The sequence below is a fragment of the Homo sapiens genome, chromosome 6 (assembly GCF_000001405.40).
Source record: "Homo sapiens chromosome 6, GRCh38.p14 Primary Assembly".
In the NCBI taxonomy this organism is placed as follows: domain Eukaryota; kingdom Metazoa; phylum Chordata; class Mammalia; order Primates; family Hominidae; genus Homo; species Homo sapiens.
In genome coordinates this window covers 25,477,846-25,493,988 of record NC_000006.12, presented here as the reverse complement: position 1 = coordinate 25,493,988, position 16,143 = coordinate 25,477,846, and the positions used below count along the sequence as shown (strand labels likewise).

Sequence of the window (16,143 nt, the reverse complement as noted above, 5' to 3'; positions counted from 1 at the left end):
AATCTAAACAACCAAAATATCTGAGAAGATGAAAAATAAAACTAAGAGGAAAGAGAATTCTGGTAGACTATGTGATATAAGAAATCTCAAACAACTCTGTTTCCATATAGTGGAACAATGTAAGTTGTATATTCTTGTTCACTTTCTGCTGAGAAAATACTGTTAACTTACTCTAAATATATTTCTTCTCCTGCTATTCTGTCTTAGTTTTGAGCATTCCAGTGTTTCCAAATATTCACTGCCCCTTTTTGAAGAAGGATGATGCTTCATCCCTCTACTGACAGCAGGCTTGGCCATGTGACTCTCTTTGGCCAGTGAGACGTGAGCAGAAATGATGTGTATGACTTCCAGAGAGAAGCCTTGGGAGCCAGTATGTGCACCGCCATGATCTCTTTTTCTCTGCTATATGACTGTGAATGTTCTAGATAGGAGGCTGCTCTGCCTCCTGGAGTGAAGGTTATATGCCAGCCCACAATGGACATGTCACAAAATCACTGTTGCTGAAAGCCATCGACATTGGAGGAAAGCGGTCACTGTTACTGTGGAACAATCTAACTTATCCTGATGGATACACTAATGAAATTATCTGTGAATAAAAGAATGAATAGTCTGGCTGACAATCCACACCTCAACGTAAATGCAGTAATTTCAACAAAATTACTAAGGGCTTTCTACAACTATATCTAGGTAACGTATTAGGTATTAAACAGTTTAATAACAACCTTTCATGTGGAAGACAAGACAATTTGTTAGCGCAATTCTGTTCTATAAGCTTAACAGCTCTACTGAAGACCAGTCATCACAGAATTCACAGTATTTTGAACTCAAAAGTGCTGATTATACAAAAACCTTTATAGTCTGTGCTTTCATCTTGTAACCTAGTTCCCCAGTCAATTACTCCTCCACCAAAGCATGGCTTTATAAGCTGGCTTCAAATATATGAGTTGACTAGGTTTCAATTAAAACTCTCAAATGTTCGCCAAAATATAGTTATCATGGAAAATTCAACTTTTCCCACCATTATATTTTCAGACTTCACACTCTCTAACTTTAATCTATGGAGGTATTTGTGGCATATTTTTGCTACTGTAAAGATTTAATCACTATTGAAGTAATAAAAAATAGTACTTTAACATACAAAGTAATTGATTTGCAAGGCACAGTTATGGAATAAAGCATGCTACAAAACTGAATTTTCCAAATAAGTGAGGGTTATCCTTTTAAATATATAAGGCCTTTAAAAACTAGCAAAAATAAAAATATTTCTAATATTAACCAATACCCATGTTATTTAAAATCATATAACTAAAATATTATTTATAATTTATGGTCATAATTATAAATGCTAAGTGTTGAACTGTATTAATTCTTTAGATATTCCCAGATTCCATACCTATCTAACCCATGTACTTTTCATAATTCCTCTGATAATTCCTCTGCAGTCTCTTTGCATTCTAAGTTGCTACTGTCTGTGAATCCTTGATGCTTCTAATCTACTGCCTTATTCTGCAAACAATTAAAGTCAGGAGTGTATAAGTGAAGTAGTCAGACTGGCCCTCGATTACTTCTACAAGTGAAAATGCATGAGCTTTGAGATAACTATTCTCTTTACTCTCTGAAAGTAGTTTATACCTACATCCAAGCTCACCCGTGAGAAATACCTATAAAAGTTTCTAAAAGGGTTTTTCCCATATTAAGACAGATTGCCTGACCACATAGGAGAAATAGTGTATTATCACATAGTTCACGCAGGCAGGCTAGAATTATTGGTAAGAACATTAACCTACACTTAAAATGATAAAACAAAAACTTGAATGTTCAAGGACTAATATTCATAGATAATGCTTAAGGCTGCCTTCTTTCATATACAACATTCACCCTTTATCACTGTTTTCCTTATCACTACAACTTTTCTCAGAAGAAGACACTTCCAGATGACAATGAGAGCAGAAATAAATCTATACCGGTGAGAGAAGACAGTTCTGGAGAGGTTGAGCACAGCTAAATATTGAAGGCATCCACGGAGAAGAGCTCCACAGACCTGAAAAAGAAATAAGGCACTCTTCTTTTCAAGTATTTCTAGGTCCAGGAGAATCTTTTATTAGAGGTCCCCTACATCCCATCTAAATAGCTCTTCTGAGACCCCTCAGAGCAAGATATATATATATTTTAAATTTACCATGTCCAGGGAACATTCTGTATTGGATAAATCCAGATGAACAATGGCATTTGGCTGGGCCAAAAAATTATACATGTGCTTGAAAAAAAATAAAAGATAAATGTTAGGATTCTAGAAACACACACATACACACAATGCAAGTTAATGTTTTAAAAGGAAGTTGCCAGAATTTCTCAGATCATTCTCTGCTCTTCCCAAGGGGATTATCAGAATTTTCTGTCATTCCTTTAGGTTCCCTGACAGTGAAAATCCCAAGAATAGTTAAAATTATGTTTGAGTTAAAAAAAGGCCAAATGGAATATTGAAAACCAAACCCCCATTTTGTTATGCATGACTTAGTTTTCCTGGATAGCTTAATTTTTATTATACAATTTTGGAACCGTGCTAATTCATTTTAACCCCTGAGATTAAAATACCACCTGAACTGCAATCACTCTATCAAAATGCTAATCACTTTTGAAAGTGTTTGCAGAACTACGAATCTGAATCTGAACCACAGGATGGTCTCAGGCTATCCTCTCTTCTGTCCGACATAATGATTTTTCTACCCTTAGTTACTTCTCAAAGCTAACAAGAATGGCTTGGCAGCAATATGAGTGCTTTTTTAAAAATTTCACTAATAGCTAAGACACTTCTGGTTTCAGGGGGTCACAATGCTTAAACTTCCCCAGTCCTCTCATTCAAGGCCATCAAAATAATGAGACTGATCAACAGATCAGTTCAACTGAGATACTGAACATCAACAGCAATGTTGTTCTGGAATTACCCTGTATGTGTAGCAACTGCCAGAGCCCACCCATAACAAGCTGAGTCCAAGCTCCCTGCCACCAGGCAAATAGCTTAAATTCTCCTCTGCTTCACTGGATGCCACTGGATACTTGCAAAAACAAACAAGCTTATACTGAGTACGTCCTTGCAAACATTTACTATGTGTAGCAGTTTGGCTATATGGTGCTTCAGAAGAATCCTATCAAGGAATTCAGAAGAGCAAAAAAATAGCCTGTAAACACTTAACACTTTAAAATAACCATACACACAGAATGACATTTATTTTTTTTTATTTATTTATTTATTTATTTATTTATTTATTTATTTATTTATTTATTTATTTTAAGACAGGGTCTGGCTCTATCGCCCAAGCTGGAGTGCAGTGGTATGATCTCGGCTCACCGCCACCTCCACTTCCCGGCATCAAGCCATCCTCCCGCTTCAACCTCCTGAGTGGCTGGGACTACAGGCATGTGACACCACGCCCAGCTAATTTTTGTATTTTTTGTAGAGACAGGGTTTCAACATATTGTCCAGGCTGGTCACAAACCCCTGGACCCCAGAGATCCACCTGCCTTAGCCTCCAAAAGTGCTGGAATTCTAAGTGTGAGCCACTACACCCAGCCATAGAATGGATGTTGTTATGAAAAGTTCTGATTCAGAAAAGTCATTTTGCTCTCACATGAAGATCCTCTGCCTCTCTCTCTCTGTTTGCCTGGCAAAAATTGTCTCAAGAGACTTTTAAGTTTACTGTGGCTTTGCTCCCAGCTACCAGCTGGGGGAGCTCTTATCACCATGAAATGGTGACAAGACTATTTGGCCACACTTCTCCAAAGAGGCCAGGCCCTGCTAGGCTGCTTTCCCTGAGGGCACAGGGTCAGGTAAACTCCTGCACCTGCCGCCAGGCTCCTGGAACTTTTGCCTTCCCCGCCCACTCTCCCCTCCAGCCCACTCTCACTCAGGTCTCATCGTTCCACTCCCCAGAAGCAAGCTACAACAGGACCCACCCTGGCCAGAAAAAGAAATCTTGAGCTATTTTGTTGTTTTAGGTGACTATTAATGTTCCTATTTTAGCTGAATCTTATTAATCTTTAGCCTTTCCTTTTATCCTTCCCTCTATTCTTCTACTTTGCCACAGTATTATTTTGGTGGTGTCACATTGGCCTTGTTTTATTTTGGGGGGGAGCAGATTTATGAACTGTCAGTGAAGGTAACAACTGAAACTGGAAAATGGATTGAAAAATCGTGGCACACCAGGAATCAAGTATTATTTAAATAATTTTAAGTTCAAGGGAGAGGAAAAGGAAAAAAAAATACAAAAAGGCCTTCATTTGTACTTCCTGCCTTACAGGTAAACCAAAACAAGAGAAATAAGAATAAATTTCACAGTGTTTTTCAGCCCTGTGGCAAAGCAGTGGAATGCAAATTAAGGCCATTCAAAGATGGCCGCTGGGTGTAGGCCATGTTGTTAAAGAAACAATTCTATCTTGGTGACTAGAGGGGATCATTTGCCACATATGGAAATGAGATAATACCTAATCCACTGTGTCAAAGATCTGCCAAATATTACATTATTGATTCAGTTACATTAAAAATTTTATTATAATTGAGAGAGTAGTTTTTGCCTTCATATTCAAACTCCGAAGAAATGGCCCCAGGTTATATGTTGACCACTCTTCTCCCTATTTTATTCACGGAATAGACGAGTGCTCAGGTTTATCCCAATACTCCCTTTCAATTGTAACCTATAACCATCAGTCTTCCCAGTAACAATAATAATAATGAGAAAGTTCAGTTAATGTGCCCAATCTTCCTTACCAGGCAATTTTAACCTGTAAGCTAATGGGTTTTTGTTGTTGTTGTTGTTGTTATTGTTTGATACGGAGACTCACACTGTCGCCCAGGCTGGAGTGCAGTGGTGTAATCTCGGCTCACCACAACCTCCGCCTCCAGGGTTCAAGCACTTCTCCTGCCTCAGCCTCCTGAGTACCTGGGACTACAGGCAAGTGCCACCATGCTTGGCTAATTTTTGTATTTTTAGTAGAGATGGGGTTTCACCATGTTGGCCAGGCTGGTCTCGATCTCCTGACCTCGTGATCTGCCTGCCTCAGCCTCCCAAAGTGCTGGGATTACAGGTGTGAGCCACCATGCCTGGTCCCTGTAAGCTAATGTTTTTAAATGAAGAAAAAAATTCTTCAACAGCATTACTTCCAAAAAAATGTGAACTTCAGCATCACTAAATGAGAAAAAAAAATAATTGTGGTGATATATGACATTTAATTAACGAATGCTCTGGAATTTTCAGTAAAACACTTCATAAGCTCGTAACTAAATGATTCAAAGGTGTCATGACAAAGAGAGAGGCAGGAAAATGCACTACAAAGACATGTTTAGAATTATTCCAGGCTTATTAAACACAGCTTCTTCGAAGATGGAATAAAGAAAAGAAAACTTACTGAGAGGTCATCTCCACGAAGGACGTTCCCTGAGAGGTCGAGGTGGACAAGGGTAGAGGCGGTCAATGGATTGGCACTGAGTGACTGAGAAAGGCTGTTCACCCCTGCAACATCAAGAAAATCCAGGCTCAGTTTGCACTCCAGGAAACAAAATGAGGTTTGTGTTTCTATAAATGGCCCAACACTTCCATCAAATTGCAGGACTGAGGTTAACCATGAGCACTGTCCCTGAAAGGTGGCGCTATGATTGTGTCTCCTTTTGATACACCCTCAGGAAGAACAGGTTGGTCAAAGACACAACCCCCTCACTGAATCAGAAGGAGTAATGAATTGGCTTCCCTTTGATCCATGTCTTCTGATGTGTCCAAGGACAGAAAGGATTTTAATCTGAAGCCTTAGAATGATGAAAGCAATCTAGTTGACAATGTTTATCCTTCTCTTAATCCTGCCAGGTGATTCTTGAGTTAGTGCCTGGTGTTTAAATGATGCATGTCCAAGTTCAGATAATTTAGGCTATTTAAAGTATTGGGAAGTTAAAAAGAGAAGTAGACAGCTCTTCTTAAATGTATTACATTCAAGGAAACATTTGGATTAAAATGGATTTCACAAAGAATGAGGAGATGATCTGTATACCATGTAAGATGCAATCATAAGGAAAAATGTATAATTAGCACTCTATACACTCTTTACATACATAACATAAATGGCTCAAATTAACATAAACTGAACTAAACTGACAAATTCACCTCAGAAAACAAAGAATGAATATGTGAGGAGGCTGCTTATCCTGTATGGATAGAACTAAGTTCTCTTATAGGTGGGTAACAGTTATTGACAGGCCTGCTAGTCATGGTTGTCTAGGGGGCCATTTCTTTTCAGAAGGGAAAAGGAGCTCTTTGAGGTGTGTCATTATAAAATGGGAGCCCAGAAGGGTCTAATCACTCACTGAGACTCAATCACTCATCACAGCACTGATGATTTTACTTAGCATAATGGGAATGTGCGAGATAGCAAAGCTCTTCATGTTTCTACCAAAAGTCCATGGTTCCAAATTATATATTTTAGAAATATGGCTATTTCTTAATTGGGTATCCTTTTATAAATTATTTTGTTTTTCTTATTTTTCAGCAAAATTTTTTGAAAATCTCAACCTATCAAATGGAGACTCAAGTAAGTCAACTACTCTAAAGAACCAGGAAAAGGTTTTCTTTCCCCTCCACATTTGGGCAGACCCTTCATGGAGAAGAGGGGCCAAGGTCAGGTCTGCCAGTAAGAGCCAGTTCTGGTCATAGCAGCAGGATCCGATGAAGGTACTACAAGAGCTGTGGGGTGCAGGTGCAGCCTTCCACTGGAGCACCTCCCTGCTGTGAGCTTAGAACGTTCAGTATGGGGCTGATAAAGAGGCCATTGTCTTCTCCAGCTTCAGAGAGTTATAATAAACTGATTCTAGTGTGTGTCTGATAAAGGCTACTGAGCCATTTCTCAAAGTGGGCGCACATTTGGGTGGGTATACAGGAGACCGAGACTTCGAATAAAAAATATTTAAGTGCAAAAAACTTCTTGGCTGTCAACTCACCATTTACTGAATGCTAACAAAATGCTGGGAATTAAAATATAAATAAGATCATTTTTTTTTTACCCTCAAAAATTGCAAAGACCATTAGGGAAAAACTTAATTAGACTCTACAATGAAAAGTCAGTGCCACACAAGGAATATTCATTTCAATAAACCTTTATGGAAATCCTACTGTGTACCAGGCAGGGTCTTCTGAGATACCATCTTACTCACTGAAGGCCAGTGGAGCAGGAGACACAGACAGCTGAATAATCACTACCCAGTGAGGCAATAATTATCAATGGGGCAAGAACAAAAGCTTGGCAGTAGAGGAGGAGGAAATTTGATTAATTGTGTTAGATAAGAGAAACGTATGGTGGCTTATAAAAAAAGGTTATTTTCTGGAGGTTATCTTCTATAACTGTTTAAACGACCAACTTCCTTTAGTTTGTCCCGATATTAGTATTAATGTATTTTTTAATGGAATAACTAAGTCCAAAACATAGGGCCAATACCAGATTCTCATCAAGAAAATCATTTGTAAAATCATTTCCTTAGTGAGGTATAACAAAACTCAATAAATAAATTCCCAAAATAGAAGGCTAAATTAGTCCTGACAGCAAAATGCTCCTGGACAAGTGCGGGCGCTTGGCAGTTGTCCAACATCTGAATAGACTCGAGAGAGCATCATGTTATCAGCTCAGCTTCATGCTACTGAAACAGCATGAAGGATTTCCTCAGCTGCCCCCTAATCCCATGCTCACATGAGGCCTGTGTTAATAAGCCCACGAAGAGTGGAGAATTATAAAAGTATAGAATTGAAAAAAAATCAAGGCTCTTACAGCCCTAACTAAACACATTTACATGCCTTTCTCGATTCTGGCTGTCTAGTGATTTTGACCATTCTGTTACTTATTATTGCAGTGTTTACAGCTGGAAAAAGGTGGTACCAGATGGTTCTGCCTTGACATAATCTGGCAACCAGCAGGACATTTGCTAGAAATCCAGAAAACTATCAGTTAGCTAACATATGAGATAAAGAAAGGGTATTTGGAGGCAGTGGTGATGTCATGGGGAGTTTTTTTTTTTTTTAATCTGTCTTGCGTTATCGAGCCATGAATATAAATGCTAGTCAAATTCACCAGAAGCTTAACACTGCAATGTAACTCCAGTCATTTTAAAACTGCGAATCTTTCAGATCCTATGTAAAATACTTCAAGAAGTCAATTTAAAAAAATAAATAAATAAACAAACATTTCAAGATATTTTTGTCTTAGGGCAATTTGAAATTATTCAGGCCAGGCATGGTGGCTCATGCCTGTAATCCCAGCACTTTGGGAGGCTGAGGCAGATGGATCACCTGAGGTCAGGAATTTGAGACCAGCCTAGCCAACATGGCGAAAACTCATCTCTACTAAAAATACAAAAATTAGCTGGGCGTGGTGGCACATGCCTGTAATCCCAGCTACTCGGGAGGCTGAGGCAAGAGAATCGCTTGAACCCTGGAGGTGGAGGTTGCAGTGAGCCAAGATCATGCAAGTGAGCCAAGATCGTGCAACTGCACTCCAGCCCGAGCGACAGAGCGAGACTCCGTCTAAATAAAATAAAATAAGATAAAAATTCTTCAAGTCATGTTATAAAACAATGTTAATTCCCAAAACATGTATTTTAATATATACATATTTTATTGCAGGTAAAAGATAAATGGGAGGACCCTTATTTGTAAAGGGTACAGGCAACGTGGGGCTGTCCTCATCGTAAGGAGGTGGAGAAGCCCAGCTTTGCCCGTAGGACCTCCCCACTGTTACCACACTAAAAGGGACAGGAACATCAGGGAGAGGTGGCACTGAAGGTCCTCAGAACCAAACTTGCCCTTGAAAGGATAAATGATGACTACATCCTTTTATTTGTTATATAGTAATGAACAAATGAATTAAAATAAATATAATCAAGAATTATTAATATAATCATTTTTTTGTTTTTGTTTTCGTTTTAAGAGACAGGTTCTCACTCTGTCACCCAGGCTGGAGTGCAGTGGCCCTGTCATAGCTCACTGCAACCTGAAACTCCTGAGCTCAAGCATCCTCCCACCTCAGCCTCCTGGGTGGCTAGAATTACAGATGTAATTCATATAATCAGGTTTTTAAAAACCACCTTTATCTTATAAACGACTTAAACTAGACCTATGGAGCACACAATCAATAATGAATGCTTTTAATATGTACACAAGTCATATAAACTTTTTTAAAAATAGATTAACACTATAAACAGAAAACTAACAAAGGATGTAAACTTAGTGATTTCCCTAAAAGAAATACAAAGGACTAAGGAACAAGGGAGTTTGGAGGGGGTTTGCCTTCTTATTTATACTTTTTAGCATCTTCTAAATCTTTACCATAAATGTGTACTACATTGATAATTATCAGAAAAAGGTTTATATAAAATGGATTTGCTGAAGTGGAACAGTGATAATGTAAAGGAGTTAAACTTAGCTGTAAGATCTGTAGATGGCTTCAGGCAATAGGTCTGAAAACACTGACTCCTGGGGAAATCCCTTTGGTAATTTATTTTCATGCCTTAATCTTAAATATGTGTGTATAAATGTGTGCACATAAAATCATGGGACTTACGGAACTAATCTCAATTTCAAACCATTCTTAATTTAACTGCATGTTCAGAATAGTGTATGATGGCATGGATATAAAATCATCAAGGGATGACTTTGCTTCACTCATTTATCCAAGGCACATTCCGTGAGAGACTGAGAAGTGCCAGGACACAGCAATGAACGAGGCAAAGCCCTTATTGTCCAGAAATGTACAGGCTAAGACACAATCAAATGTGATGGACACATGCTAAGATAGAGGAATTTACACAGGGCTAAGGAACACAGAGAAAGGAGCATCTAGTCATACAGGGTGTGGTGAGAGGGGGTTGTCTGAGAACATTTCAAAGAGAAAGTGAGATAGAAGCAGCCAGGCTCAGTAGCTCATGCATGTAATCCCAGCACTTTGGGAGGCTGAGGCAGGCAGATCGCTTGAGCTCAGGAGTTCGAGACTGGCCACGGAACATGGAAACTCTGTCTCTACAAAAAAATTAGCAGGGTGTGGTAGTGCACGCTTGTGGTCCCAGCTACTTGGGGGGCTGAGGCGGGAGGATCGCTTGAGCCCAGGAGGTTGAGGCTGCAATAAGCCAAGATCGTACCACTGCACTCCAGCCTAGGTGACAGAGCAAGACCCTGTCTCCAAAAAAATAAATAAATAAAATTTAAAAATCCACCTCCGACTTTTTTTCAATCCACCTCGGATTTTTTTTTTAATCTACCTCCATTTTTTTTTTTTTTTTTTTTGAGACAGAGATAGAAGCTGAATCTGCATAGGATGCATGGTAATTCATGAGACATTCCAGGTAAGGACACTAAGGTTGCTCCAGGTAGAAACTGAGGCATATAAAAACATAAGACAGCTCAGGATGATGATAATTATGATGATGGTGGTGGTGGTGGTGCCGGTACTGGTGGGGGTGATGGTAGCAGTTTACTAAGCACTTTGTGACAGAAACCATACTATATGTATATTAAATCATTTAACTCTACCTGTGTAGAAATAAGATAGTGTTATTTCTGTCTTACAAATGAGGCATCTGGGAGCAAAGACATTATAAATGCATGTTCATACATAAGTAGAAAAGTCAGAATTCAACCTTCGGCAATCTGACTACAGAACTGACACTTTCAACCACTATACATACTGTTTCCAAAAGACAGTGGCTTTCTTAAGAAATGGCAAGATGTTCAAGAAACTTTTGTTAAACAGTAGTCCAGGCACAGTGCCAGGTGCTGCAGATAAATAGAGAGAAGCACAGGCCACAAGGAGAGCCCCAGTGTAGCAGGAAAGACACAATATTTATGCAATAATGTTACATATGTGATCTTGAAGTAATACAAAGGGAACACTCATTGATTCTGTATGGCCTTGGGAAGAGGGAACACATCTCAGCAGAGTTTATCACAGATAAACAGTTTTATAAAACAAACTGAACCTCTCTATTTGGGGATTAAAAAAAAATTTTCAGGCATCCAGGGCAAAATGTGAAGATACACAAAGGCACAAAGAATGCAGGATAATTTCTAATATTATTATTGAGGTGCTGCTGTGGCAAAATAATAATGAATTGACAGGATTTGATGGAAAAAATGAAGGTGAGTGAAGTTAGGAACTGACCTGGAGAGAAGATAAGGAAATCTCTAAAGACAGAACTACAAGGAGTGGAGCTACAGTGGTGATTCACAAGTTAAGCCCAACAGTTTTCTGTAAAGCAGACAGTCTATCTGACAGTTAGAAAGGCCAACTTGTTGAACCAAGAGAAACACAACCAGGTGCATCTTGGAATGTGAGGCAGGAGGGCAGAGGCAGACAGGCAAGTGTTCCCTGACTCAAAGTTTTAAAAGTTAAAGACTGCATGTACATGTCAAAATTACTCTCTGCTCTGACAGCACTTCACTGCAGAGCATCAAAAATTGAATTACATAAAGTCTTTATCTTCAAACTGCCAGAGTAATATAATACATATATTTTAAATGTATTTTTTTAATGTATTTTTAAATGTAACAAATAATTCTAACTAAGGTAGCAGGTGCAGCAGAAATATTTCAGACACACTCTTAGGTAAATAAGAAATACTGTACCTTTAGGTGATAATGAGGTTTTAGATAAATTTAAGTGCTTTAATCCCTTTGGGAGTTTGGCAAATTGAATACTTAAAGAGGACACACCTGAGAAAGGAAAAAGAAGCGATTAGAATTTTCAAGTTCTCAGAATTGCATTTTTTACAATGGATGAAAATTAACTTAATTTTGATTCTGACTGAAGTGATCATATTTTTCTTTCTAATATCAGACTTTGTTTTCTAAACATTTACCATCAAGTCCCCTTTTCTTTCTGTCCTACCTACAGGGTAAGAGAAGGGGAAGATTGTCTTATTAGGCATACAATATCTGAAACTTTTCCATTGGAGATACTTTTCTTGGGGCCACGTGTCACTCTTTTTCTCACAGTTCTATTTAAAATGCAAATCCTCTTGGAAAGGATAATTGTTAACCCCTTTTCTTTTTAACCTGTCTTAATGAGTTGATCGCTCTTCTAGATGAGCGGATGTATGATATTTAATTATTGCCAAGAAGAATGGAGTAATATTAACTATTCTGATAATGGCAGATGGATTCCTATACTTAATTGGCTTATAGCTAACAACCTCATACAGAGCTTCGGAGCATGTTTTAACTTCTTAAAAGTAGATTTTGTAACTTTGGATAACTCACCAGGAATTTATGGTATTTAAAATCAGATATCTTCTAAATTTAATAACCAGAGTGGGAGATTGGGAACACCAGCTCACCCATCCAAGGACTGCAATGAGCATAGACTGTTTTCTGGGAGGAAATAAGTAATACACAAACGTATGCCCTTCATACAGGTCCTTCAACTGACCTCCTGCTATGGATGAGCCATCATTTCCCCAGGGGCATGTTCTTGAGAAGGCTCCTTAAACAATGTTAATTCCTGTTCCCTTAGACTAATTATCAAGCTTCAGGCAGCAATAAGAAATTACTGTGCTGGTTGCTGCCCTTATATAACCCCAAATTATCTACAAATCTTATCACAACTTCTAAGAAACAACATGGAGGTCATGCAGCTAGACTAAGCCTCTACATGGGCTTTTCCCCTAGAACAGTGGGTGTTCTGGGAGCCTCTATTTCCCCACTGTGTTTCCACAGTCAAAGAAGTTTGAAAATCACTGGATTAAATCATGTTAAACAGGTTTTTATCGGAGTATTTCTAGAGACTTGAGTATGCTAATCCATTTTGTAAATTACAAAAAGAGGGCAGCCTTGATATTTAGCTGATACACTCTTGTAAAAAAAAAAAATAAGTGACTAACAAGTTGATGTGGGAAAGGGGGGAAGACAGAATAACTGTTAAAACTTGATTAATCTAAAAGGCAAAAAAGAGAGGAAAAAAGGGGACAAATAAAAAAATGGACCAGCACTTTGGGAGGCCGAGGAGGGCGGATCACAAGGTCAGGAGATCGAGACCATCCTGGCTAACACGGTGAAACCCCGTTTCTACTAAAAATACAAAAAATTAGCCGGGCGTGGTGGCGGGCGCGGGTAGTTCCAACTACTCCGGAGGCTGAGGCAGGAGAATGGCGTGAACTCAGGAGGTGGAGATTGCAGTGAGCCGAGATCGCGCCAGCCTGGGTAACACAGCAAGACTCCAACTCAAAAAAAAAAAAAAAAAAAGGAAACAAATAGTAATACAGATTTTCACCCAATATTTCAATGATTACATTAAATATAAATTTAAATTAAATATAAATAATTTAAATTTATTTTATTTAAAAATATTATTATATAAATATAAAGACTCAAATTACAAGTCAAAGATGATTTATTTGAATAAAAATATCAAATGTTTTCAAGAGATACACCTAGAGATACATGTATTCAGAAGTGAACGTAAAAGCGAAAAAAGATATGCTACAAACACTAACTAAAAGAAATCTGATGTAGCTGCAATAAGACAATTTAAATTTTAAGAAACATTACTAAAGATAAATGGAATATTTCATTAATTAAGAAGATACAATTACTCTAAATCTATGCTCTGATTAACATCATCTGAAAATATATAAAGTAAATCTGACAGTAACAAAAGGAAAATACACATATTACATAAACACACACGCATATATAATAATGGAAGTTTTCTAACACACTTCTATTAGTAGCTAATAAATGAACAGAAAAAGTCAGTAAAGATATAGAAAATATCAAGATCATAATGAAAAAAGATATAACTGATATATTTAAAATGCTGTACCCAGTAACTACAGAATACATTTCTTCAAAGTCCACACTAAATATTTTCCAAAAGGAATCATATACTGAGCCATAAAGAAAGTCTCAACAAATAACAGAATGTTCCTTAGTACTGTGAATTCATACACAGAATATTTGTATGTTCTCTGTTACCACTACTGCAGTTAAAATAGGAATTATAACAATAAGATAATTAGAAAATCCCCAAATAATTATAACTTAAGCAATATATTTCTAAATAACAAAAGAGTCAAAAATCACAGTGGGAATTTTAAAAATATTTTGAGTTAAATCTAAAAACTATGGTATTAAAATCTTTGGGATCTAACTAGAGCCATGCCTAGAGAGAAATCAATAGACCTAAATACATATTTTAAGAAAGATAAAAAACTGGAAAATAATTATCTAATTATCCAGCTCAAAAAACAGCAAATTAATCCTCACCCACCTCTGTAAACAGAAGGAAGGAAAAAAAATAAGAAAAAGGGAAGAATCCAGTTAAATAGATAGCAGCCATAAAAATAAGTAAATTTAACAAAGTTGGTTCTTTAAAAATACTAACAAAATTAATAAACTCCAACAAGACTGGTAAAATAAATAAATGAGAAACAGAGATCAAATTATCAAAATCAAATGAAAAGAGAATGTAAAGATCTTACAGGCGTTGAATTATAACTCGAGGGTATAAACACATCTGTAAGTCAAAAAACTATCATTTTAATAGAAAGGAACAAATCCCTTATGAAAAACATGACAGACCAAAACTAATTTAAGAAGAAGTAAATAATCTCAATAGTTCTCTATCTATTCAAGGAAACAAATCTATTATTAAAAAATCTCTCCACAAAGAGAAGCAAAAGAAGCCACACACAAAGGAGTACATAGGCAAAGAACAGGCAAAGCTCATCCATCATGAGAGAAGTCAGAATAGTAGTTATCTTTTCCAAGTGGTAGAGGACAGGGCTGGTAATCACTGGGGCAAACCACAAGGTAAGTCTGGAGAACGGTGGGAACATTCTGTCTCTTGATCTTGGTAGTGGTTTCTGGGAGAAACAAAAGGCCTCTTCTCTGTTAGAAAGCATACACATTGGAACATTGTGGATGTCAGAGCACAGGTGAGTAAAAATTTTTACATTTCTACCAATTCTATAACTTTCCTGGAGAGTTCAGAAACACTAAGGAAAGTAAGTGAAAAAGCAAAATACAATGAAGTATTTCCATTTCAAAAATAAGGCTGAGAGGAAAAGACTTAGAACCAAGAGTATAAGAATATAGGCATACTGGAAAAAATTGAGTCAATACTTCCAACTTTTAAACGCCCTAAATCTAAATCTATGCCCTTTTTTTTTTTCCCCAAGATGGAGTCCCACTCTGTCACCCAGGCTGGAGTGCAGAGGCGCGATCTCGGCTCACTGCAACCTCCTCCTCCCAGGTTCAAGGGAATCTCCTGCCTCAGCCTCCCGAGTAGCTGAGACTACAGGCACGTGCCACCACGCTCGGCTAATTTTTTGTATTTTTAGTAAAGACGGGGTTTCACTGTGTTAGCCAGGATGGTCTTGATCTCCTGACCTTGTGATCTGCCCGCCTCGGCCTCCCAAAGTGCTAGGATTATAGGCGTGAGCCACCGTGCCCAGCCAATCTATGCCATTTTTAAAATATTGCTTTACCTGTTTAACCATAAAAATATCAATTATTTCATTTAATCCTTAGAACATTCTTATTTGGTAGGTACTATCATTGTATTTTTAATATAAGGAAGCTGAGGTACAGAGAAGGTAGGTAACTTGTCCAAGAACACTTAGCTAGAAAGCTGTGAAGCCAGGAATTAAACCCATGTGTTTCGACTCTGGGACTCACTGATATACACTGAGACATGAAAGACCTAAAACACCAAGAAAAGTAAGCAGCAATCCTAGAATCTATAAGTCTCTTGTCTTATTTAGAAGATCAAATCAGAGCCACCACCAAATAGCTGGGAAAAAATATGAGCGTACTTCAGGTCAACAAAAAACACTAGAGCTAGGATTCTAAATGGTGTCTAAATGAAATAATCGAATTTTGAATAGAGTGAGTGGAGAAGCCTGGGCAACAGAGTGAGACCACATCACTACAAAAAAAAATTTAAAAATTAGCCAGGTGTGGTAGTGCACACCTGCAATCCCAGCTACTTGGGAGACTGAGTGGGGAGGATGGCTTGAGCCCAGGAAATGGAGGTTGCAGTGAGCCATTATTACACCACCATACTCCAGCCTGGGCAACAGAGTGAGACCTTGTCTCAAAAAAAAAAAAAAAAAAAAAGTGATGA

The 16,143-nt window shown here is 37.8% G+C and overlaps 1 protein-coding gene across 20 annotated transcripts in view; it reads right to left on the bottom strand.

Annotated features, from left to right (window-relative positions):
* CARMIL1 (capping protein regulator and myosin 1 linker 1) overlaps window positions 1-16,143 on the bottom strand; it is a 341,157-nt gene that overhangs the window by 126,542 nt on the left and 198,472 nt on the right. For all 20 annotated transcript variants that reach the window (XM_017011008.2, XM_017011009.2, XM_017011015.2 and 17 more), the window contains 4 exons: window positions 11,646-11,732; window positions 5,404-5,507; window positions 2,180-2,257; window positions 1,965-2,041 (listed from right to left, as the gene is read on the bottom strand). In XM_017011008.2, coding sequence (XP_016866497.1) covers window positions 1,965-2,041; window positions 2,180-2,257; window positions 5,404-5,507; window positions 11,646-11,732 — 346 coding nt within the window. The remainder of the gene's footprint in view (window positions 1-1,964; window positions 2,042-2,179; window positions 2,258-5,403; window positions 5,508-11,645; window positions 11,733-16,143) is intronic.